Raw genomic sequence first — 27,409 nt, 5'->3', positions numbered from 1 at the left:
AGCAAACTGATCTTTGACAAAATTGACAAGAACATAAACTGAGGAAAGGAAAGTTTCTTTAATAAATGGTGGTGCTGGGAAAATTGGATTGCCATATACAGAAGAATAAAATTGAACTGCCATCCTTCATCATATATGAAAATCATCTCAAGATGGATTAAAGACTTAAATGTAAGACCTGAAACTATAAAATTACTGGGAGAAAACCTAGGGAAAGAACTCTTCTGGACATTGGGCTAGGCAAATAATTCATGGCTAAGACCTCAAAAGCACAAGTAACAAAAACAAAAATAGACAAATGGGACTTAATTAAACTAAAAAGCTCCTGTACAGCAAAGGAAATAACAGAGCGAACAGACAGCCTGCAGAATGGGAGAAGATATTTGCAAACTATGCCCCTGGCAAGGGTCTAATATCCAGAATATACAAATAATTCAAAGAACTCAACAAAATAACCCCAAATAACACCATTAAAAAGTGGGCAAAATATATGAATAGACAGTTTTCAAAAGAAGACATACAAATGACTAACAGTTATATGAAAAAAATTGCTTAACATCACTAATCCTCTGAGGCAAATTAAAACCACATTGAGTATCATCCCAGTGAGAATGGCTATTATAAAAACATAAATAACAGATGTTGGCGAGGATGCAGAGATAAGGGTACTCATACACTGTTGGTGAGAATGTAAATTAGTCCAACTTCTGTGGAACACAGTATGGAGATTCCTCAAAGAACTAAAAATAGAACTACCATTTGATCCAGCAATTTCCCTACTGGGTATCTACTCTAAGGAAAATAAATTATTATTTTACATAGATATCTGCACTTATATGTTATCACAGCACTTTTCACAATAGCAAAGATACGAAATCAACATGTGTCTATCACTGGATGCTTGAATAAAGAAAATGTGGTATATATACACAACAGGATACTATTCAGCCATAAAAAAGAATGAAATTAAGTCTTTCACAGCAACATGGATGGAACTGGAGGCTATTATCTTCAGTGAAGCAAGCCAGATACAGAAAGACAAATATTGTATGTTCTCACTCATAAGTGGAAGCTAAATGCGTATGCAAATACATAGAGTCTGGAATGATAGACTATGGAGACTTGGAAGGGTGAAAGTGTGGGAGGGGGCTGGATGATGAGAATTTACTTAAAGGGTACTATGTACGTTATTTAGGTGATGGATACACTAAAACCCCTGACTTCACCACTAGGAAATCTATGCATGTAATAAAATTCCACTTCTACTCCATAAATTTATACAAAAATAAAATTCAGCTTCATAAAATTTAGTAAATTAATTACAAAATAGTAAATGTTGCACCTGATTCCAAAATATTTTGTATGACATCTAAATACATTATTAGCAAGTAGGTGGTCTCATGCTAAGGAATTCACTGGGTATATTTCTGGTGGTTAATCCTCTGGAAGTGAACTCTATCACAACACTGGGTGTGAAGAAATTCTTAGTTTTAATTATACTAGAATTTTATTTTCATATGAACTAGGGAAAATCAGTATCAAAGCCATTTTATATATTCAGTCATTCACTGCTTAGTGACAGGGATATATTCAGATAAATGCATCATTGGACAATTTTGTCGTGTGAACGCAAATGCAATAAAAACAAAGATAACTAGTTGGGACTTAATTAATCTAAAGAGCTTTTGCATAGAAAAAGGAACAGACTCAGCAGAGTAAACAGACAACCCACAAGATTGGGAGAAATCTTCACACTCTATACACCTGACAAAGGACTAATATCCGGAAACTACAATGAACTCAAACAAGGCAGTAAGAAAAAAAGCAAACAATCCCTTCAAAAAGTGGGCTAAGGACATGAATAGACAATTCTCCAAAGAAGATATACAAATGGCCAACAAACATGTGAAAAAATGCTCAACATCGCTAATGATCAGGGAAATGCAAATCAAAACCACAATGCAGTACTCCCTCACGACTGCAAGAATGGCCATAATCTTTTGCTGTGCAGAAGTTCTTTAGTTTAATTAGATCCCATTTGTCAATTTGGCTTTTATTGCCATTGCTTATGGTGTTTTAGTCATGAAGTCTTTGCCCATGCCTCTGTCCTGAATGGTATTGCCTAGGTTTTCTTCTAGGGTTTTTATGGTTTTAGTCTTTAATCCATCTTGAGTTAATTTTTGTATGAGGTGTAAGGAAGTGGTCCAGTTTCAGTTTTCTGCATGTGGCTAGCCAGTTTTCCCAACACCATTTATTAACTAGGGAATCCTTTCCCCATTACTTGTTTTTGTCAGGTTTGTCAAAGATCAGATAGCGGTATATGTGTGGCATTATTTCTGAGGCCTCTGTTCTGTTCCATTGGTCTATATATCTGTTTTGGTACCAGTACCATGCTGTTTTGGTTACTGTAGCCTTGTAGTATAGTTTGAAGTCAGGTAGTGTCATGCATCCAGCTTTGTTCTTTTGGCTTAGGATTGACTTAGCAATGTGGGCTCTTTTTTGATTCCATATGAAATTTAAAGTAGTTTTTTCTAGTTTGTGAAGAAAGACAATGGTAGCTTGAGGGGGATAGCATTGAATCTATACATTACTTTGGGCAGTACCGCCATTTTCATGATATTGATTTTTCCAATCCATGAGCATGGAATGTTTTTCCATTTGTTTGTGTCGTCTCTTATTGCCTTGAGCAGTGGTTTGTAGTTCTCCTTGAAGAGGTCCTTCACATCCCTTGTAAGTTGTATTCCTAGGTATTTTATCTTCTTTGTGGCAACTGTGAATGGGAGTTCACTCATGATTTGACTGTTTGTCTATTATTGGTGTACAGGAATGATTGTGATTTTTGCACATTGATTTTGCATCCTGAGACTCTGCTGAAGTTGCTTATCAGCTTAAGGAGGTTTTGGTGTGAGACCATGGGGTTTTCTAAATATACAATCATGCCGTCTGCAAACAGAGACAATATGACTTACTTTCTTCCTATTTGAATACCTTTTATTGCTTTCTCTTGCCTGATTGCCCTGGCCAGAACTTCCAATACTAGGTTGAATAGGAGTGGTGGAAGAGGGCATCCTTGTCTTATGCTGGTTTTCAAAGGGAATGCTTCCAGCTTTTGCCCATTCAGTATGATATTGGCTTTGGGTTTGTCATAAATAGTTCTTATTATTTTGATATACATTCCATCAATACCTAGTTTATTGAGAGTTTTTAGCATGAAGAGGTGTTGAATTTTATTGAATTCCTTTTCTGCATCTATTGAGATAATTATTGATAACCAACGGTCATTGGTTCTGTTTATGTGATGGATTACGTTTATTGATTTGCGTATGTTGAACCAGCCTTGCATCCCAGGGATGAAGCCCACTTGATCATGGTGGATAAGCTTTTTGCTGTGCTGCTGGATTCGGTTTGCCAGTATTTTATTTAGGATTTTCGCATCAATGTTCATCAGGGTTATTGGCCTGAAATTTTCTTTTATTGTTGTGTCTCTGCCAGGTTTTGATATCAGCATGATGCTGGCCTCATAAAATGAGTTAGGGAGCAGTTCCTCTTTTTCTATTGTTTGGAATAGTTTCAGAAGGAATGGCATCAGCTCCACCTCGTACCTCTGATAAAATTCGGCTATGAGTCCATCTGGTCCTGGGCAGGCAACCTAGAGAGTGGGAGAAAATTTTTGCATTCTATCCATCTGACAAAGGGCTAATATCCAGAATCTACAAAGAACTTAAACAAATTTACAAGAAAAAAATAAACAACCCCATCAAAAAGTGGGTGAATGATATGAACAGACACTTCTCAAAAGAAGACATTTATGCAACCAACAAACATGAAAAAAAGCTCATACATCACTGGTCATTAGAGAAATGCAAATCAAAACCACAATGAGATACAATCTCATGCCAGTTAGAATGGCAATAATTAAAAAGTCCAGAAACAACAGATGCTGGAGAGGATGTGGAGAAATAGGAACACTTTTACACTGTTGGCGGGAATGTAAATTAGTTCAACCATTGTGGAAGACAGTGTGGCGACTCCACTAGGGAGGGTAGTCTGCTTTAGTCAGTATACCTATTTAATATGGTTTGGATGTTTTGTATTCTCCAAATTTCATGTTGAAATGTGACTTCCACTGTTGGAAGTGGGCCTAATAGGAGGTGTTTGGGTCATGGGGGCAGATACCTCATGAATGGCTTGGTGCTGTCCTTGTGGTAATGAGTGAATTCTCACTCTGAGTTCACATGAGATCTGGTTGTTTAGAGAAGCCTGGCACCTCCTCCCTCTGTGTTTTGCTCTTTCTCTCATCATGTAATGCGTTGGCTCCCCTTCTTCTTCTGCCATGAGTGTAATCTTCCCAGGCCCTCACCAGATGCAGATGCTGGCACTATGCTTCTTGTACAGCCTTCAGAACTGTGACCCAAATAAACCTCTTTTCTTTACAAAATACCCAGCCCCTTGGGTACTTCTTCGTGGCAACACAGACACTATTCAAATGTTAATTTCATCCAAAAACACCCTTACAGACAGATACAAAATAACGTTTAACCAAATATCTGGGTACCCCAGTGGCATTTTGGTCTATTTCCTAGCATTATCACACATTAAGGCCATTGGTATATTTTAGTGCAATAGTTGTATTTCATATAAATTCCTCTATTATATTCAATTAAATGAAGCATTTGAAATAATTTGTTCATTCTACTTTTGATGGACATCTGTTTGGTTTTATTTATTTTTTTTACAATTATGAACAATACTGTCACAATTGACCCAAACTGATCCTCTTTTCTAATTAAGACTGCAGTTATTCCTGCGATATGGTTTGGCTCTGTGTCCTCACCCAAATCTCATCTTGAATTGTAATCCCCACATGTTGAGGGAGGGAAGTGACTGGAACATGGGGGCCATCTCCATGCTTTTCAAGTGATAGTGAATTCTCACCAGATCTGACGGTTTTATAAAGTGTAGTTTTTCCTGCACTTTCACATGCTCTCTCTCTCACCTGCCGCCATGTAAGATGTGCCTGCTTCATTTTCCACCATGATTGTAAGTTTCCTGTGGCCTCCTGAGCCATGTGGAACTATGAGCCAGTTAAGCTTCTTTCCCTTATAAATTACCCAATCTCGGGTATTTCTTTAGAGCAATGTGAAAACGGACTAACGCATCCTGTTAGAGCTTTCCAAAGAATCACAATTGGACCACGTGTGTCTACAGTATGTGGTAAACGTGTTTGCTGAGCTTCATGCTCCCTATAAAGATTTTTATGGAAAAATGGCCCTGACAAGTGCCCTGTAAAAGCAGTTTACATTCTTCCAGCCTGGCAGACTGGAGTCTGAGAAAATATAACTTTCTACAAAAGTGACAACAGCAAAGGGCACTGTGTGATGGGAGGATAATACTGTTTGCAAACCCAATTCAGAAGAGTGAGTAGGCAGAATCATGGAAAGAACTAGGCTTTCTGGTTTGAATATGGGTTCTCCTACTACATAGCTCTGTGTCCTGGAAAATTTATTTCACTTCTCTGAATCATTGTTTCCTCACCTGTAAAAGAGGATCCTATTCTATCTGTCTGCCAGGATGGTTGGAGGAATTAAAGTAATAAATACAGTATTATTGAATATAATATAGTCATATCTTAGTGAAAATAAGTTTTCTACAGAATTATCGCCATCAGCCACTACCTCTGTAAGCAGAATGCAAATCACTTTCCTAGAGATGTTCATTTGTGCTTGCCAGAGAGCATTGCCAGATAGTTTCGAAAATGCTATTCACTATGTCTGGGCCAGTAAGTTTACACATGGTTTTTCAAAGAGGTAAATTATCAAAAGTTGAGGAATTATTAATAACCCTTCTTTAAAAATCATCATTGCCAAAGTGGTTCCAGACTGGGAGAGTTATGGCCACGTGAGCCCCTGGAAAGAGGCTTTCAAAGTTAAAAGGGCTGCCAGTACTTAATCATGTGCCCATTTGTTGCTTCCCTTGCTCTGACAGTGGACATTATATTTAATGGCTAAATAAAAGATCGTTTTTCTTTCCAATCTGACTAGAAAAGAGAAAAGTATGAAGCTAATGCTGTGTTATGCCAAAGGGGGACATGCATCAGGGAAACTGACACATTGAACTTGTAAACTCCAATTTTCCAGCTTTTAATATGTCTAGTGAATGTAATTCTCCAGTCTAGAAATTTGAGGAGTAATTTGCTTACTCTGAAATCAATATATTATTTCTTAAAATGACACAAGTACTGGAATTGTGTTTTCTCATGCAGTTCCTCTGAAACCAGTCAAATTCTCTCTCTAATGCATGATGGTGGTAATTTATTTTGTCATTGTTCTTGCATCTTTTGGGTCCTTTTGAAGGTGAATTAGCAGTTTTGTAAGGTCTTAAATCCTTAGTGGTATTCCAACAGCAGGATCATAATATAGTTCATAGAATACTGGCCTATGGCTGGGCGAGGTGGCTCACCAAGGGGACGTGGATGCTCAGGTGAGAGGATCACCTGAGTCTTGGGAAGTTGAGGCTGAAACTGCAATGAGCCCTGATCACACCACTGCACTCTAGCCTGGAAGACAGTGTGAGAGTGTGTTAAAAAAAAAAAAAAAAAAAAGATTACCAGCCTGCATCTTTTGAACAAATCATGAAAGAATACTTATTGAGCACTTACTATGTGCTATGTGCTCATTTCCTAGATGATGGAAACAATAGTAAGCAAAATATTCCTGCCCCTGTAATCTAATAGAAACATAACAAATGTTAATTAAGTAATCACAAGTCTAAAATTGTAGCCTCTGATAAAAGAAATAAAGGAAAAACACATAAAACACACACAGACATTTGTATACAGTACCCGCATACATAGGAGTTGTTCATTGTGGTGAAAATGACACACTACTTGGAATTAGTTAAAGCTGGCTTGAAATCCTCACTTCTTTTCTTGTTGGCTATGTAATCTTGGACATATCAACTAACTTGTGATTATTTCCTCTTCTGTTATAGTAAGAATTGTGAAAAGTAGATGATACGTAAAATACTTGGCACTATAGATGGCAGAAAATAAGCACTCAATTAAAATTATTAATAATACTGTGAAATTGCTGAAAAATAATACTAACATATTTACAAAGTTATAATTTATTTTATGTAATAGATAAAGGTTTGAAAATTTGAGGTAAAGCACGTTTTTTCTGTGTGCATGTGTAAATTTGGTATTATTGACTTACAGTGTAATTTTAAAGAATATTTGTCTTTTTTACTAATTAATTAAAATATGGCTTTTATCTTCCCATTCCTCCCCTTTTTTGTCTGGTGCTTAATTATCCAGAGTACCAACGTTTCAGTGAAATAAGGAAGTTTTCACTGAGAGTAGAGAATTTTATTGTAATGCAAACTATTAATTTATACCTGCCAGATTTACTTAAAGCAGAGCACAGCACTGCATATCACAATGTTTCTTTTATTGTAAGTTATGATTAAAGCAGTGGCATTGAACATGAATGTGTTTAAAATTTTTGTAGTTTTCTTAGCATGATATAATTTAGGTGAGGGAGATAATATTTTTCTTTCTTCCCTTCAAATGTTGTGATTTTTCTCTCAAAGATTTTAGAAACTATGATTAAAATCTGGAGTAAGAAAGTGAAGAGTATAATGTAGAAGGAAATAAATATGATTTTATGGGAAAAGATCAATAATCAAAGTGATTGCTCCTCGTGAATAATGTGGAAGATGAGTTTCTAAGGATCTGAAAAATAACATACATAAATACAAGTTGGGAAAAATATATATGCAGGTTGGGAAACAGTGTTATCTAAAATATTAATTTTTGTTTGTAATTGAGTATAATAAGTGATTAAAATGGCTGTTAGGGAATACATATTTTTATAAATACATTTTATGTTCATTATTTTTAGTAGCACAATCATTTAATGACAAGGAGTCATTCCTATGTTTATCTTTGTTAGAAAATATTTGTATTACACATAATCTACCTTGTTTTGGTCTACAGGAAGTTTAATATGTTAACAGAATTGAGATAACTGATTGTAGTTTTTAGGCAATCAAGAATATTTCCATGCTTATATGTCATCAGTCTGATCATTAGAAATTTCATTCTAATATTTGATACCCTTGACCCAGGATATTATACTATATACTCAGGAGGCCAGGTAGGCTGAATTCCTAGGAGTGGAATTGCTGGGTTAAAGGTTAAGACGGTCTCTATGGATTTTTTATAGTATATCATCTGTATAATTCCAATAACATCTAAAAGTGAGATATTAAATATCTCTCAGCCTTTGTTTTTCTACAAAAGGAGGATGGTAATGAAAGCACGCATATCTTCATCACAAGACTTTGGAAAATCAAATAATTGACATCAATGATTTTGTAAAGCATTACCCAATATAGGAGTGTTAATTATTGTTCGAAAAGTTATTTACAGTTAGGTCTTCCATTCTTTGGGTCTTTGTGACCTTTGAATGAATCTTTACTACAACATGTATGACACTACTATAGCTGAATGGTCTTTTTTGTGAATTTATCTGCCTATTAGATTCAGAACTGTTTGAAACAAGTATTTCTCTTTTTCTGTATTCATCTTTGCAGTCTCTGAAACTTGTACTGAATGCCTAGCTCCATAAATGTTTGAATAAATTAATGTTAAAGTAGAGGATGGAGGATGTCTGGTGCAACATTCTTGTTTCTGCCATGGCACTGAGATAATGTTGTTCTTTTATTCATTCATTCTTTTACATTCTCCATGCTCCAAAAAGGAGTTATGTAAGATGAGCTACTATTTTCACCTTAGTGACAGAAAAGAAGTTCATAATCAGGGAGTGGTAAGTGTGCTTTAGGAAATTAATAGGAAGATGCTAAGAAGGAAGAAAATATTCTAAGAAGTATTAGTACCATTCTTCTTGTCCAAGATTGCATGGAAACTGAGTATTTATTTCCCAGTGAAACTAGGGCATTCATATTTGACAGTGCATTGTGAATTTATTATTACTGACTTCATAAATTCAGAAATTATTGAAAGGAGTCATGAAGAGTCTAATATAATCTAGGACAGATGAGGAAACGGACACACAACCCCGTGGGCTCATGTCTCATTCAACCTGATGGTAGAACTTAACTTGATTACTCATCTGCTTGCTCCAATTATTCCATCTGATTTGACCTGGTGATTTCTGGATAGTTATTTCTGCCTGTTAAAGTACAGTGATCAGCTATGAGGCCCAGTATGTACTTGTCTAATGTACCAGAGCCTTGAAAAGTGATACCTTCTTAGATGTAAACATACATCTTTTCACCTTTCCCATGGAAAAGAAATAAGAAGAGGAGCAAAAGATGATAGTCATTTCTAGAGAGGCTCCTCTCTGCCAGGCGGTTTCTACCTTGAAAGGCAAAGGAAGAATCATCCAGCGTGTGAGCATAGGAATACCATATAAATCCAGCTCCTTACATCGGGAGTGAAGAGTACAGGGTCCTGATGGCATGTTGCTGATCTCTGGTACATGTCAGTTAGGTGAATATTGGGTTTTGCTCAGAGTTATCAAAGGAGCATAATTCATAAAGCTTGAGAGAAGTTTGCTAACTTTCCAGTTCTGTTTAGTTGAGTTTATAAGACAGAGTGTTTCTTTCTGTACCCCAGGCTGTGCTCTGTGGCTTCTGCCTTTGTTTCTGTCCACTGAGGGGCAGGGTGGAGAGTGAGTGTTCTGTAACAGTCATCAGATGAAAAATTGGCTTGCACTTAGTTCAAGGACGTCTCAGGTGCACTCGTGAGTCGTCAGTGGACAGCATTTGAGACAGGGTTCTCAAGAGGAAAACATCACACAATGTTCCATTATTTATCTGTTGGGAATCCACTTGTTATCTATTGGGCTTAACTGCTTTTTAAGAGCCAGATAGCTTCAGCTTGTGATAAAATTCCTCTCACGTGGATCTACAAAAGACACTGGAGTATGAAGTGACAAGTGAAATCATCTTACCAGCTTGCAGTGAGGATGGTCTCATTCATAGACCTCTCAGACACGGTGGTAATTGTTTGCAATTATGAAGTGCAGTGGTAGATTGCATCTTCCCTGGGTTCAGGTTCTTTTCCATATGACTGCAGGTTCCTTCCACAAAAATGTGTGCTGTATTTTTCTGCCTCTTAACTTGAATGTCCCATGTGGTTTGCTTTAGTCAACAGAACATTAGTGGGTGAGATGTGATCAAAAGCTTGGGGAGTGTTGTGCATTTGGTCTTGCTCTCTGCCATCAGCATAAGAAACAGCCCATGTTAGACCACTGAGTCTAAGAAGGAGGATGAGAAAGAGATGCAGTTGAGTCACTCCAGCTTAAATTAGCTACCTACAAACCAATACACATGCTTGTGAGCTAAACATTTATTCTATGCCACTGACAAATTATGGTTGCTTTTTACATGATATTATTCTAGTTACAGCTAAGTGATGGGAAAGCATTTCTTTGAATAGAATAACCAGCTAAACTTCTGTTCACTCTGGAACACTTTGGAAGTAAAAGAGATACTATATAAAAATTACATGGGTCGGGTGTAGACTGACCATACATTCTGGCTAGACAGGACAGTCCCAGTTTACAAGTGTTATCTTAAGCATTTGTTCATCCTGACAGAATTCTTGATGTTCCAGAATTAAATAAGTTAAAAATAAATAAACATAGCCCATTTTCATTCATTTTACTTATTTTGTTACAATTTATTCAATGCTTGCTAGGAACAAAGCTGACCTTAGGTGACTTGTACTTGCTTAGGCAAGACAAGAAATGGATAAAACTGTCATCATTGTCTAGACTTATTGACATTTGTAGATTTTGTAATCAGTGTTATTACTTTTTATGGCAACCATGTCTGTGTCAGGTAGAAATTTAAAAATCTGTAGGGGCGTGGCTTGGACTTTCTTATGTCTTAAGTCTGGTCTGCCTTAAATAATAACTTAGTGAGGGGGACTTGCCAACTGTCTTGCATCTCCTAATCAACTCACCCTCCTTGATCTTTTCTTTTTTAATTTCTAACTCCTGTGAATTGGGAAAATGCTTCATTGCAATGAAACAGTGTCCACCAACTGACAAAAGTTCCATAATGAAAATCTGAAAAAATGGCTAACTTGTAGTATCGTTATAGACAAAGGAGATATAAAACTCTCAAAAGAAAAAGGCAGAAACTGTGGAAATCTTTAGTTACACATTTTGAGGTTAATCTCTTGGGAATAACTACTATTCTAAGCAGTGGCGATACACAGACATACATGTCTGTATATATTGAGTGGGTGTGTATCTATGTATCTTGCATCATAAACTCTTACTCCTCTACCCTGGTTTTCTTGTGGTAATCAGACAGCACTACATGGAAATGGGAAGGTTCAGCCTGGGACCTGAAGGCTATTTAATTTTCATACACTTTTACACTGAAGTGAAAACACACATAGAAAAGTACACAAATCAGCTAATTACCACAAAGGAGACATAAGCATGCAACTTCCCAATCTACAAGGCTTCTGGAGGGGGTGTGTCAGTTTGAATCCCCGACCAAACTCTCAAAACACAATTAGGCTTATGCAGCACCAAATTTATTTAGCTTAAAAAAAAGATGCAGATCAAGGACTAACTGCAGCATCATCACAGAGACTTCAGGTGTTCAGATGCAGCTTCTGATGCCCCAAATCACCATACATAGTTGCAGTTTGGTTACAAATTTGATGAAAGGCTGACACAAATGGATTATATCAGCATAAGAAAGCAACCAAGCCTGGGACCTTGAACTTAAATACCTTGTTGTGTATCCCCATTCTTTTGCCTTTAAATTATAAGTTATACAGTGAACAGTCTAATGGCCATTCATACACCAGTGTTCAATATATAGCAGGCCCTGAGAAACCTTTTCTATCTTCAGAGTTGATGTTATAAAGAATAGAATATTGACCCCAGAAGCCCTCCTCATGCCCCTTCTCATTAAAACACAGCTCCTCCTGGTAAGCAGTGTCATGACTTCCATAGGTTATTTTTGAAGTTTATGTAAAACAGTAATATACTGCATACTGTGTTTTGGTTGCCATCTTTTGCTCAGCATCAAGTTTTGGAGCTTCATCAGTGTCATTGCATGTACCTATGGGGTTTTATTTGATAGCATTTCATTGCATGGTTATACCACAATTTATCCATTCTACTGTTGATATTTGGATTGTTTCTAACTTAAAAGTAGAATAAATAATTTTGCTATGCATATTCTTGCAAACGTTTTTTGGTACATACGTGCATGTATTTTTGTTGCATATAGGCTTAGGAAGGAAATTACTTGGTCCTGAAGCGACAATCATGTTTAACTTACATAGATAATGATGTCTTTTCTGAGGTGGTTGTACCAGTTTATACTCCCAAGAATAAATGTTCTATTGATGTACATGTTCTAAAACATTGGGTGTTGTCAATAATTTTTACTATTGCCACTATTGTTGGTATGTAGTGGTAATATTATTGCATTTTGAAATTCTAGTTCCATGTTGAATCATAAGGTTTAGGAGCTTTCCAAGTATGTATTGTTCATTTGAATATTCTCTTTTGTGGAGTGTCTATGTGTAGGTCTTCTTTATTTTTTTGTATTGCAATGTTGGTCTTTATTATTCATTGGTAAGAAATCCACAAATTCAAAAATTCTTTGTTGTTTATAGTTACAGAAAATGTTCATTCTCCACCCTCTCTTGTCTTTTCATTTCAGTGGTGTGTTTTAATGAATACAATTTTTCTTGAATAGTTTAATTTAGCTATCTTTCCCTTTATGGGTTGCATTTTAAGTATTCTTTTTATTATTGATTTTGTAATTCAGATTATGAGAATATTCTTTAATATAATCTATGTACTCCATTGTTTTGTTATTTAAAAAAATTGAAAACTGATAGAACAAATAATTCCTTATTGTTCTTCAGGAACACCTTCAATATTCTTGGCCTCTGTAATTTTCATGTAAACTTTAGATAAGCTTGTTATTTTTCTCCCAAAATGACTGTTTAAATTCTAATTGAGATTGCATTCAAACTATAGATCATTTTAAGGAGAAATGACTGACATAATCTTCACAATAATGATTTATCTAATTGATGAACATGAGTAACTCTCCATTTGTGGAAGTCCTTTAAAAATTACTCTTGGCTGGGTGCGGTGGCTCATGCCTGTAACCCCAGCACTTTGGGAGGCCAAGGCGGGCAGATCATGAGGTCAGGAGTTCGAGACCAGCCTGGCCAATATGGTGAAACCCTGTCTCTACTAAAAATATAAAAATTAGCTGGGCATGGTGGCACATGCCTGTAGTCGCAGCTACTCGGGAGGCTGAGGCAGAAGAATCGCTTGAACCCAGGAGGCAGATGCTGCAGTGAGCCAAGATCACGCCACTGCACTCCAGCCTGGGCAACAGAGTGAGGCTCTGTCTCAAAAAAAAAAAAAAATACTCTCAATAATGTTTTTATTTTTTGATTAGAGATCTTATATATGTTTTTATAGATTAATCTTAGGTATTTGATATTTTTGGTACAACTGTAATTTACATCTGTTTTTAAATTTCATTTTCTAATGATTGCTGGCATAGGAAAGCAATTCTTTTTTTTACAGACAGGATCTTGCTATGTTGTCCAGGCTGGTCTCAAATTCTGAGGCTCAAGTGATCCTCCCACCTTGGCCTTTCAAAGTGCTGGGAATGCATGCTTGAGCCACTGCGCCTGTCCTAATTTTTGATATATTGACCTTGAAAGCAGAAATGTTCAACATATTTTTATATATGTAATTATGTCATTTACAAATAACAGTATTGTTTCCTCCACTCTTATTCTTTTACCTTTTTTTCCTTTTTTCTTCCCTTATTACACTGATCATAACCTCCAGTGTAGTATTTAATACAAGTAGCATTAGTGGGTATTACTATAACATTCCTGATGTTTCAAGGAAAACTTTTAACATTTTCTATCAAGTATAATTTTGCTGTAGGTTTCTGTGTGTGCATGCTTTCTTCTTTGACAAATGAAGAAATCTACTTTTGTTCTCAGCTTTCTATTAGTTATTTTTAAAACTAGTGTGAATGAGTGTTTAATTTTATTAAATGCTTTTTATTAGTTGAGATGATCATGGTTTTTCTCCTTTATTCTGTTAATGAGGTGTGAATTACAGTGACTGTTTTCAAACCTTGAACCATTCTTTTTCCTAGAATAAGCCCAAACTCTTCATGATATGTTAATCTTTTTATATATAGCTGAATTCGACATTAAAATATTTTTCACCTATGATTATTATATCAGCCTATGGTTTCCTTTAATATGCTTGACAGGTTTTGGTATCAAGGTTATGCAAACCTCATAAGATGAACAAGGACATTTTTCCTTTTATTCTAGTGTGTAGAAAAATTTAAGCCTGGTGATAATTTTTTTCTTGAATATTTGGTGAACTAACTGATAAAGCCATCTTGATCTGGATTTTTTTCATTGATATGCTGTTAATTTTAGATCTAATTTTCTAATAGTTATAGGGCATTTAGTGTTTTTTACATCTTATATCAGTTTTGATAAAATATTTTTTCAAGTAACTTTTTTATTTCGACTGAACACTGATGTGTATTTTTCACAGGAAAATCCTCATAGTATTATCTTATTATCTTTGTGATGTTTGTAATATCTGTCCTAGAACCTCCTTTATCATTCTAGATATTGCTTATCTTTTCTTTTGCTCATATTCCTTAAATCATTTTCACCATGGGTTTATTGATTTGATTAGTTTCTAAAAAATCTTTTAACTTTGACTCTCTTCTTTGTAATTTTCTTTCCTATTTCTCTCTACTCCTATCTATATTACTTCTTGCCTTTGTTTATCATTAATCCTTAAGTTTGTTTTGCATTCCTTTGTCTAATTTAATAGGATAGCTGCTGGTAGTGTTCATTTTATGGCCTTATTTTAAATAATAGCTATTAATATATGAAAACAATGTAAGGCAATAAATGATAACTTATGATTCCATTTCTAAGAAACTTTAGCTGCCTCCTACAAATTTTGCTCTTTTTCTAATCTTAATTCATTTCACATATGTTTGGTTTCTATTATTTCTTTTTTGATTCCTGGTTTGTTTAACAGTGTTCTGGTTAACCTCCAAAGATTTAGAGATTTTTTTCAGTTACATTTTAAAGAGCTATTTCTAGCTTTATTCCACTATGGTCAGAGCAAAGTCTGTCTGATTCATATCCTTTACCAATTTTAGAGACACTCTTTGTAGACAGCATAAGGTCAATTTTTGTAAATGTTCTGTTTTTACTTACAAATAATACATATTTTTCAGTGATTAATACACTCAATTGTGTCTAGCTTATTCATTTTGTTGGTTAAATCTTTTAAAACATTGTTGAATTATTATTTTTTGGTCTGCTTGATCTTAGAAACTACTGAGAGAAGTGTGTTAGAATCTCTGGTGAAGACTCGTTGAATGGTTTTGACCAAAATTCTGATAGTGGTATAAACAATGAAGTCTAGGCTGAGGAGGTCTCAAATGGAGATGAGGAACTTCTTGGGAGCTGGAGTAAAGGTCACTCTTGCTATGCTTTAGCAAAGAGACTGGAAGGATTTTCCTTTGCCCTAGAGATCTGTGGAACTTTGAACTTGAGAGAGATGATCTGAAATTGAAACTTATGTTCAAAAGAGAAGTAGAGCAAAATATTGTGGAAAATTTGCAGCATGACGATGTGATAGAAATGAAAAACTGATTTTCTGGGGAGAAATTGAAGCCTGCTGCAGAAATTTGCAAAAGTAATGATGACCTGAATGTTAGTAGCCAAGTCAAAGGGGGAAAATGTCTCTAGGGCACGTCAGAGATCTTGGTGGTAAACCCTCCTATCAGAGGTCTGGAGGCCTAGGAAGGAAAAATGGTTTCATGGCCTGGGCTTAGGGCCCCGCTCCCTGCTCTGTGTAGCCTCAGAACGTGGTGCCCTGTGTCCCAGCTGCTTCAGCTCCAGCCATGGCTAAAATGGGCCAAGGTACAGCTCAGCCATTGCTTCAGAGGGTGCAAGCCCCAAGCTTTGGTGGTTTCCATGTGGTGTTGAGCCTGTGGTTGCACAGAAATGAAAAATTGAGGTTTGGGAACCTCCACCTAGATTTCAGAGGATGTATGGAAACAGTTGGATGTCCAGGCAAAAGTTTGCTGCAGGAATGGAGCCCTCATGGAGCACCTCTGGTAGGGAAGTGCAGAAGGGAAATGTGGGGTTGGAACCCCAACATAGAAGCCCCCTGGGGTACTGCCTAGTGGAGTTGTGAGAAGAGGGCCACCATCCTCCAGCCCCCAGAATGGTAGATCCATGAACAGCTTGCGCTGTGCACCTAGAAAAGCTGCAAGCACTCAATGCCAGCCCTTGAAGGAGATGCCCAAGGTCATGGGAGCCCACCCCTTTACATCAGCATGTCCTGGATGTGAGAGGCAAAGGAGGGCATTTTAGAGCTTTAATATTTAATGACTGTTCCACTGGATTTCAGACTTGCATGGGGCCTGTCCCCCTTTTTTGGCCACTTTCTCCCTTTGGAATGGGAACATTTATCCCATGGCTGTACTCCCATTGTATCTTGGAAGTAACTAACTTGTTTTTTATTTTACAGGGTCATAGATGGAAGGGGCTGCCTTGTCTCAGATGAGACTTTGGACTTGGACTTTTGGGTTAATGCTGGAATGAGTTAAGACTTGAGGAATTGTTGGGAAGGAATGATTGGTTTTGAAAACTTGCCTTGTCTTGGATGAGACTTTGCCTTGGACTTTTCAGTTATTGTTGGAATGAGTTAAGACTTTGGTGTATGTTGAGAAGGCATAATTCATTTTGAAATGTATAAAATACATGAGATTTGGGAGGGGCCAGGGGCAGAATGATATGGTTTGGCTCTGTGTCCCCAGACAAATCTCATCTTGAATTTTAATCCCCATGTGTAAGGGAGGGACCTGTAATCCCCCACGTGTTGGTGGAGAGAGGTGATCGGATCATGGGGGCAGTTTCCCCCCTACTGTTCTCGTGATAGTGAGTGAGTTCTCACAAGATCTGATCGTTTTATAAGTATCTGGCATTTCTCCTGCTGGCACTTCTCTCTCTTGCTGCCTTATGAAGAAGGTGCCTGCTTTCCCTTCTGCCATGGTTGTAAGTTTCCTGAGGCCTCCCCAGGTATGTGTAACTGGGAGTCAACATTTTTCCTTTGTAAATTATCAAGTCTTGTGTAGCATCTCTATAAGTGTGTGATAACAGACTAATACAGCAGGTTTGTTATATAGTTAAACTTTAATCATGGGGGTTTGTTGTACAGATTATTTTGTCACCTAGGTATTAATCCTAGTACCCATTTGCTATTTTTCCTGATCATCTCCCTCTTCCCACCCACCACCAACCCTTAAATTGGCCCCAGCATGTGTTGCTCACCTCTATGTGTTCATGTGTTCTCATCATTTAGCTTCCATTTGTAAGTGAGAATATGCAGTATTTGATTTTCTGTTCTTGTGTTGGTTTGCTAAGGATAATGGACTCCAGCTCCATCCATGTTCCTGCAATGGACATGATCTCTTTCTTTTTTATAGCTGCATAGTATTCTGTGATGTATATGTACCACATTTTATTTATCCAGTCTATCATTGATGGGCATTTAGGTTGATTCCATGTCATTGCTATTGTGAATAGTGCTGCAATGAACATACATGTGCATGTGTCTTTATGACAGAAAAATTTATATTCCTTTGGGTGTATACCCAGTAATAAGATTGTGGGTCGAATGGTATTTCTTTTTTCAGGTCTTTGAGTAATCACCACACTATCTTACATAATGGCTGAATTAATTTACACTCCCACCAACAGTGTGTAAGCATTTCTCTTTTTCTACAGCCTCACCAGGATCTGTTACTTTTAGACTTAATAGTAGCCATTCTGACTGTTGGTATCTCATTGTGGTTTTGATTTGCATTTCACTAATGATCAGTGATGCTGAGCTTTCTTTTCTGTGATTGTTACCTGCATGTATGTCATTTTTTGAAAAGTGGCTGTTTATGTCTTTTGCCTAATTTTTAATGGGGTTGTTTTTTCTTGTGCATTTGTTTAAGCTACTTATAGATGCTGGATATTAGACCTTTGTCAGATGCATAATTTGCAAAATTTTTCTCCCGTTCTGTAGGTTCTCTGTTCACTCTGATAATAGTTTCTTTTGCTGTACAGAAGCTCTTTAATTAGATCCCATTTGTCAATTTTTGATTGTTACAATTGCTCTTGGCATCTTCATCATGAAATATTTGCTCATGCCTATGTCCCTAATGGTATTGCCTAGGTTGTTTTCCAGGGTTTTTATAGTTTTGGGGTTTGCATTTTAGTCTTTATCTTGACTTAATTTTTGTATATTGTGTGAGGAAGAGGTCTAGTGTTGGGAACAGGTCCCCCAAAATATGGTCATAAACTGGCCCTAAAACTGGCCATAAACAAAATCTCTGCAGCACTGTGACATGTTCATGATGGCCATAACACCCACTCTGGAAGGTTGTGGGTTTACCAGAATGAGGGCAAGGAACACCTGGCCTGCCCAGGGTGGAAAACAGCTTAAAGGTGTTCTTAAGCCACAAACAATAGCATGAGCGATCTGTGCCTTAAGGACATGCTCCTGCTGCAGTTAACTAGCCCAACCTATTCCTTTAATTCAGCCCATCCCTTCATTTCCCATAAGGGATACTTTTAGTTAATTTAATATCTATAGAAACAATGCTAATGACTGGCTTGCTGTTAATAAATATGTGGGTAAATCTCTGTTCGGGGCTCTCAGCTCTGAAGGCTGTGAGACCCCTGATTTCCCACTTCACACTTCTATATTTCTGGGTGTGTGTCTTTAATTCCTCTAGCAGCGCTGGGTTAGGGTCTCCCAGACCAAGCAGGTCTTGGCAGTCTAGTGTTTCAGTCTTCTGTATATGGCTAGCCAGTTATCCCAGCACCATTTATTGAATGGGGAATCCTTTTTTCACTGCTTGTTTTTGTAAGGTTCGTCAAAAATTGGGTAGTTGTCAATGTGTGGTCTTTTCCTGGGTTATCAGTTCCATTACATTGGTCTATGTGTCTGTTCTGGTACCCGTACCATGCTGTTTTGATTACCATAGCTCTGTAGTATAGTTTGTTGTTGAGTAGCATGCTGCCTCTAGCTTCGTTCTTTCTGCTTAGGATTGCCTTGGCTACTTGGGATCTTTTTTGGTTCCATCAGAATTTTAAAAGAGTTTTTCCAAGTTCTGTGAAGTCTTTAATCCATCTTGAGTAAATTTTTATAAGGTCTAAAGAAGGAGGCCAGTTTCATTTTTCTGCATATGGCTAGCCAGTTTTCCAAGCACCATTTATTAAATAGTGTATCCTTTCCCCATTGCTTATTTTTTGTCTCCTTTGTCAGATATCTGATAGTTTTAGGTGTGTGATCTTATGTCTGGTTTTTCTATTGTGTTCCATTAGTCTATGTCTCTGTTCTTGTACCAGTGTCATGCTGTTTTGGTTACTATAGCCCTGTAGTATAGTTTTAAGTTGGTTAGCATGATGCCTCCAGCTTTGTTCTTGTTGCTTAGGATTGCCTTCGTTACCTTGGGCTCTTTTTTGGTTCCATATGAATCTTAAAATAGTTTTGCCTAGTCCTTTAAAAATGTCATTCATAGTTTAAAAGGCATATCATTAAATCTATAAATAGTTTTGGGCAGTATAGCCATTTTCACAATATTGATTCTTTCTATCCATGAGCATGGAATGTTTTTCCATTTGTTTGGACCATCTCTGATTTCTTTTAGCAGTGTTTTGTAGCTTTCCTTGTGGAGATCTTTCATCTCCATACTTAGACGTGTTCCTAAGGTTTTTGTGTTTCTTGTTGTTGTTGTTGCTGCTGTTCTTTTTGTTTTGTTGCTGGCAATTGCAAATGGGATTGCATTTCTGATTTGGCTCTTGGCTTTACTGTTTTTTGGGGTATAGGAGTGCTAGTGATTTTTACATTGATTTTATATCCTGAGACTTTGGAGAAGTTGCGTATTAGGTTAAGGATCTTTTGAGCCAAGACTATGGGATTTTCTAGATATAGGATCATGTCAACTACAAAGAGGAATAGTTTGACCTCCTCTCTTCCTGTTTGGATGCCCATTATTTTTTTTCTCTTGCCTTATGGCTCTCTCTAGGTTCTAATACTATGTTAATAGTAGTGGTGAGAGAGGGCATTCTTGTCTTGTGCCAGTTTCCAAGGGGAATGCTTCCAGGTTTTGCCCATTCAGTATGATATCAGCTGTGGGTTTTCCATGTATGGCTCTTATTATTTTGAGGCATGTTCCTTCAATATCTAGTTCGTCATGAGTTTTAAAGAGTTTTTAACATGAAGAAGTGTTCAATTTAATGTAAAGTCTTTTCTGCAACTATTAAGATAATTATGTGCTTATTGTCTTTAGTTCTGTTTATGCGATAAATCACATTTATTGATTTGTGCATGTTGAACCAACCTTAAATCCCAGGGATAAAGCCTATTTGATCATGGTAGACAAGTTTTTGATATGCTGTTAGGTTTGGTTTGCCAGTATTTCCTTGATGATTTTTGCATTGATGTTCATTGAGGATATTGACCTGAAGTTGTGTGTGTGTGTGTGTGTGTGTGTGTGTGTGTGTGTGTGTGTGTGTGTGTATGCACATGCACGTGTGTATGTGTGTGTGTGTGTGTGCTTGCCAGGTTTTGGTATCAGGATGATGCTGGCCACACAGAATGCATTAGGGAGGACTTCCTCCTCTTCAATTTTTTTTTTGACTTTAAGTTCTGGGATACCTGTGCAGAACATGCAGGTTTGTTACATAGGTATATGTGTGCCATAGTGGTTTGCTGCACCTATTGACCCATCCTCTAAGTTCCCTCCCCTTGCTCCCCAACCCCCAACAGGCCCTTGTGTGTTGTTCACTTTCCTGTGTCCATGTGTTCTCATTGTTCAACTCCCACTTATGAGTGATAACATGTGGTGGTTGGTTTTCTGTTCCTGTGTTAGTTTGCTGAGGATGATGGCTTCCAGCTTCATCCATGTCCCTGCAAAGGACATGATCTCACTCCTTTTTATGGCTTTGTAGTATTTCGTGATGTATCTGTACCACATTTTCTTTCTCCAGTCTATCATTGACGGGCATTTGGGTTGGCTCCATGACTTTCCTATTGTTAATAGTGTTGCAGTCAACAAACATGTGCATGTGTCTTTATAGTAGAATGATTTATATTCCTTTGGGTATATACCCAGTAATGAGATTGCTAGGTCAAATGGTATTTCTGTTTCTAGATCCTTGAGGAATCCCATACTGTCTTCCACAGTGGTTGAACTAATTTACGTTCCCATCAACAGTGTAAAAGCATTCCTATTTCTCCACAGCCACACCAGTATCTGTTATTTACTGACTTTTTAATAATAGCCATTCTGACTGTAATGAGATGGTATCTCATTATGGTTTTTATTTGCATTTCTCTAATGATCAATGATATTGAGCTCTTTTTCATATGTTTGTTAGCCATGTAAATGTCTTCTTTTGAGAAGTGTCTCTTCATATCTTCTGCTCATTTTTTGATGGGGTTGTTTATTTATTTCTTGTAAATTTGTTTAAGTTGTTTGTAGATTCTGGACATTAGCCCTTTGTCAGATGGGTAGATTGCAAAAATTTTCTCCCATTCTGTATGCTTCCTGTTTACTCTGATGGTAGTTTCTTTTGCTGTGCAGAAGCTCTTTAGTTTAACTAGATCTCATTTGTCACTTTTGGCATTTGTCGCAATTGCTTTAGGCATTTTCGTCATGAAGTCTTTGCCCATGCCTATGTCCTGAATGGCATTGCCTGGGTTTTCTTCTAGGGTTTTTATAGTTTTGGGTTTTACGTTTAAGTCTTTATTCCATCTTGAGTTAATTTTTGTATAAGGTATAAGGAAGAAATCCAGTTTCAGTTTTCTGCATATGGCTAGCCAGTTTTCCCAGCATCATTTATGAAGAGGAGATTCTTTCCACATTGCTTTTGTCAGGCTTGTTGAAGATCAGATGGTTGTAGATGTATGGTGTTATTTCTGAGGTCTCTTTTCTGTTCCATTGGTCTATATGTCTATTTTGGTACCAGAATCATGCTGTTTTGTTTACTGGTGCCTTGTAATATAGTTTGAAGTCAGGTAGTGTGATACCTCCAGCTTCGTTCTTTTTGCTTAGGATTGTCTTGGCTATATGGGGTCTTCTTTGATTCTAAATGAAATTTAAAGTGCTTTTTCTAATTATTTGAAGAAAGTCAATGGTAGTGTGATGGGAATAGTATTGAATCTGTAAATTACTTTGGGCAGGATGGCCATTTTCACAATATTGATTTTTCCTATCCATGAGGATGGAGTGTTTTTCCATTCGTTTGTGTCCTCTCTGATTTCCTTGAGCAGTGGTTTGTAGTTCTCCTTGAAGAGGTCCTTCATATCTCTTGTTAGCTGTATTCCTAGACATTTTATTCTCTTTGTAGTGATTGTGAATGGGAGTTCATTCATGATTTGGCCGTCTGCATGTCTATTGTTGGTGTAAAGCAAGGCTTGTGATTTTTGCACATTAATTTTGTATCCTGAGACTTTGCTGAAGTTGCTTATAAGTGTAAGGAGCTTTAGGCTGAGATGATGGGATTTTCTAAATATAAAATCATGTCATCTACAAACAGAGACAATTCACATTCCTCTCTTCCTACTTGAATACGCTTTATTTCTTTCTCTTGCCTGATTGCCCTGGGCAAAACTTCCAATAATATGTTGAATAAGAGTGGTGCAAGAGGGCATCCTTGTCTTGTGCTGGTTTTCAAAGGGAACACTTCTAGCTTTTACCCATTCAATATGATATTGGCTGTGGATTTTTCATAAATAGCTCTTATTATTGTGAAATATGTTCCATCAGTACCTAGTTTATTGAGAGTTTTTAACATGAAGCGATATTGAATTTCATCAAAGGCCTTTTCTGCATCTATTGAGATAATCATGTGGTTCTTGTCTTTGGTTCTGTTTATGTGATGGATAACATTTATTGATTTGCATATGTTGAACCAGCTTTGCATCCCAGGGATGAAGCTGACTTGATTGTGGTGGAGAAGATTTTTGTGCTGCTGGATTCAGTCTGCCAGTACTTTACTGAGGATTTTGGCATCAATGTTCATCAGGGATATTGGCCTGGAGTTTTCTTTTTTTGTTATCTTTGCCCAGTTTTGGTATCAGGATGATGCTGGCTTCTTAAAATGAGTCCCTCTTTTTCAGTTGTTTGGAATAGTTTTAGAAAAAATGATACCAGCTACTCTTTGTATTTCTGGTAAAATTAGGCTGTGAATCCATCTGGATCTGTGTTTTTTTTATTGGTAGGCTATTAATTACTGCCTCAATTTCAGAACTTGTTACTCTCTATTCAGGTATTCAACTTCTTGCTGGTTTAGTCTTGGGAGGGTGTATGTGTCCAGGAATTTATCCATTTCTAGATTTTCTAGTTTATTTGTGTAGAGGTGTTTAGAGTATTCTCTGATGGTAGTTTGTATTTTTGTGGGGTCAGTGGTGATATCCCCTTATCATCTTTTATTTATTGTGTCTATTTGATTCTTCTTTATTAGTCTAGCTAGCCATCCATTTTATTAATTTTTTTTTAAAAGCTCCTGGATTCGTTGATTTTTTTGAAGGGTTTTTCATGTCTCTATCTTCTACTGTTCAGCTTTGATCTTAGTTATTTCTGGTGTTTTTGGATTAGTTTGCTCTTTCCTCTCTAGCTCTTTTAATAGGTGATGTTATGGTGTAGATTTGTAATCTTTTAGCTTTCTAATGTGGGCATTTAGTGGTGTAAATTTCCCACTTAACACTGCTTTAGTGGTGTCCCAGAGATTCCGGTACATTGTCTCTTTGTTCTCATGGGTTTCAAAGAAATTCTTGATTCTACATTAAATTCATTATTTACCCAGGAGTCATTGAGGTGCAGGTTGTTCAATTTCCGTGTAATTGTGTGGTTTTGAGTGAATTTCTTAATCCTGAGTTCTAATTTGATTGCATTGTGGTGTGAGAGACTGTTTGTTAGGATTTCAGCTCTTTTGCATTTGCTGAGGAGTGTTTTATTTCCCATTATGTAGTCAATTTTAAAATAAGTGCCATGTGACACTGAGAAGAATGTATAGTCTGTTGGCTTGGGGTGGAGAGTTCTGTAGATATCTATTAGGTCTACTTGATCAAGAGCTGAGTTCAATTCCTGAATAACCTTCTTAATTTTCTTTTTCTCTGAACTGTCTAGTATTGACAGTGGGGTGTTAAAGTCTCCCACTATTATTGTGTGGGAGTCTAAGTCTCTTTGTATGTTTCCAAGAACTGGTTTTATGAATCTGGGTGCTCCTGTATTGTATGCATATATATTCAGAATAGTTAGCTCTTCTTGTTGAATTGTTCCCTTTACCATTATGTAATGCCTTTCTTTGTCTTTTTTGATCTTTGTTGTTTAAAGTCTGTTTTGTCAGAGACTAGTATTGCAACCCCTGCTTTCTTTTGGTTTCCATTTTGTTGGCAAATTTTCCTCCATCTCTTTATTTTGAGCCCATGTGTGTCTTTGCACATGAGGTGGGTCTCCTGAATACAGCACACTGACGGGTCTTGACTCTTTATCCAATTTGCCAATCTGTGTCTTTTAATTTAACTAACAATAAGGTTAGTATTGTTATGTTTGAATTTGATCCTGTCATCATGATGCTGTCTGGTTATTTTGCACACTAGTTGATGTGGTTTCTTCAGAGGGTCATTGGTCTTTGTATTTGGGTGTGTTTTTGCAGTGGTTGGTACCGGTTTTTCCTTTCCATATTTAGTGCTTCATTCAGGAGCTCTTGCAAGGCAGGCCTGGTGGTAACAAAATCCCTCAACATTTGTTTGTCTGGAAAGGATTTTGTTTCTCCTTTGCTTGTGAATGAAACGTAGTTTGGCTGGATATGAAATTCTGGGTTGAAAATGATTTTCTTTAAGAATGTTGAATACTGGCCCCCAATCTCTTCTGGCTTGTAGAGTTTCTGCTGAGAGGTCTGCTGTTAGCCTGATGGGCTTCCCTTTGTAGGTTACCTGGCCTTTCTTTCTGGCTGCCCTTAACAGTTTTTCCTTCATTTTGACCTTGGAGAATCTGATGATTATGTGTTGATTATGTGATGATTATGGGTTGATCTTCTCCTGGAGTATCTTAGTGGTATTCTCTGTATTTTCTGAATTTGCATGTTGGCCTGTCTTGCTAGGTTGGGGAAGTTCTCCTGGATAATATCCTGAAGTGTGTTTTCTACCTTCTTTCCATTATCCCCATCTCCTCCACGTACTCTAATCAATCATAGGTTTGTTCTTTTTGTGAAGTCCCATATTTAGTGGAAGCTTTGTTCGTTCCTTTTTATTCTTTTTTCTCTATTCTTGTCTGCATGTCTTATTTCATTAAGTTGATCTTCAATCTCTGATATCCTTTCTTCTGCTTAATCAATTCAGCTACTGATACTTGTGTATGCTTCACGAAGTTCTCATGCTGTGTTTTTCAGCTCTATCAGATTATTTATGTTCCTCTCTAAACTGATTATTATAGTTAGCAGCTCCTCTAACTTTTTATCAAGTTTCTTAAGTTCTTTGCATTGGGTTACAACATGCTCCTTTACCTCAGCAGAGTTTTTTATTACCCATCTTCTGAAACTTACTTCTATCAATTCATCCATCTCATGCTCCTTCCAGTTCTGCATCCTTGCTAGAGAGGCACTGCAATCATTTGGAGGAGAAGAGGCAGTCTGGCCTTTTGGGTTTTCAGCATTTAATCATTGATTCTTTCTCAGCTTCATGAGTTTGTCTAGTTTTGATCTTTGAGGCTGCTGCTTTGGATGGGCTTTTTGTGGGGACTTTTTTTTGTTGATGCTGTTATGCTTTGTTTTTCTTTCAAGGGTCAGGTCTCTGTTCTGTAGGACTGCTATGGTTTGCTGGGGGTTCACTTCAGGCCCTGTTCATCTGGTTCGCTACTGTGCCTGGAGATGTCACTCAAGGAAGCTGGAGAACAGCAAAGATGGGTGCCTCCTCCTTCTGGGATCTCTGACCTCAAGTAACACCAACCTGATGCCAGTAGGATCATTCCTCTATAGGCTGTCTGACAACCCTTGTCAGTCGGTCTCACCCAGCTGGGTGGCATGGGGAACAGGACCCATTTAATGAAGCACTTGACTGTCTCTTGGTGGAGGGGGTGTGCTTCACTGGTGTGAAACCTACTTGTCTGGAGCTGCCAGGAGGAAAGTCTAAGTCTGCTGGTCCAGAGTGTGTGGCCACCCCTCCCTCTAGGGCTCAGGCCCTTGGAGATCAAGGTTCTGTCCATAAGCCTCTGGCTGGAGTTGGAGTTCCTGCTGGGAAGCCCCACCCAGTGAAGAAGGATGGGTCAGGGTCAGGCCTGTAGAGGCAGTCTGGCCGCAGTCTGCCACAGCCAGTGTTTTGGACTGTGGGGGACACCTCTTGGGACCAAGCCATCCAGCTTCCCTGGCTCCAGCAGGGGAAATGCATGGCCTGGAGCTATAGAGATGAATGCTACCCTTCCCCATTCCAGGGAGCTTAGCATGTTAGGCATTTATGAGCCCCAGTGCTGGCTGCTGCCCCTCCCCCAGGAGCTCAAAGGGCTTAGCAGGCAGCTGCAACTGTGGTGCTGGTCTCCTCTCCTCTCAGGAGCTCAGGAGGCTTAGGCAGGTTCCAGCTAAGAGGCTTTTGAGGATCTGCAGGGCTCCAAGTTTGGGATCCTAGGACCTGCTGACATGGGTTTGTGAGTGGGTTGTAAAGTTCTGTGGAAAAAGCATGGTTTCCCTGGCTGGTTAGCACACTACCTCACTGCCTCCCTTGGCTGGGGGCCGTGGGGTGGGATCTCCCCTGCCCTGTGTGGCTCTCAGATGGGCCACTGTACCACACTGCCCTTGCTTCCTCTCCATGCATCATGCCAGCCACCTAGTCAGTTCTGATGAGAGAACCTGGATACCCTGGTTGCTGGTGAAGGATTCACATGCTAATTATGGTTCTTTTCCATAGGAGCCTCTGACAACTGCTGTTTGTAGTCGGCCATCTTGGCCCTGCCCCTTCTCCTTAACATTTATGGAATAGTTTCAACAGGAATTGTATCATGTCGTCATTGTACATCAGGTAGAACATAGCTGTGAGGTCTTCTGATTATGAAGTTTTTTTGGTTAGTAGGCTATTTATTACTGCCTCAATTTCAGAACTTGTCATTGGTCTATTCCGTGATTCAGTTTCTTCCTTCTTCAGTTGTAAGAGGGTCTATGTGTCTAGGAATTTATCCACTGCTTCTAGATTTTCTAGTTTACGTGCATAAAGGTGTTCATAATGTTCTCTGGTGTTTGTATTTCTGTGTGATCAGTGGTATTATC

The 27,409-nt window shown here is 37.7% G+C and overlaps 1 long non-coding RNA gene across 1 annotated transcript in view, besides 1 other annotated feature; it reads left to right on the top strand.

Moving 5' to 3' along the window:
- The window catches only part of LOC101927078 (uncharacterized), a 325,996-nt gene that overhangs the window by 202,066 nt on the left and 96,521 nt on the right, over nucleotides 1-27,409 (top strand). The window lies entirely within an intron of this gene.
- Nucleotides 26,173-26,672: an enhancer, noted in NCBI's record as "H3K4me1 hESC enhancer chr5:113880373-113880872 (GRCh37/hg19 assembly coordinates)". NCBI's record gives its function as "activates a minimal SCP1, AML or CMV promoter by ChIP-STARR-seq in primed H9 embryonic stem cells {active_cell/tissue: H9 hESC(primed)}" and the evidence as "EXISTENCE:reporter gene assay evidence [ECO:0000049][PMID:30033119]".

This window comes from Homo sapiens, chromosome 5, assembly GCF_000001405.40.
Source record: "Homo sapiens chromosome 5, GRCh38.p14 Primary Assembly".
In the NCBI taxonomy this organism is placed as follows: domain Eukaryota; kingdom Metazoa; phylum Chordata; class Mammalia; order Primates; family Hominidae; genus Homo; species Homo sapiens.
The sequence above is the reverse complement of the archived record's forward strand: the minus strand, read 5'-3'. Positions and strand labels throughout refer to the sequence as shown.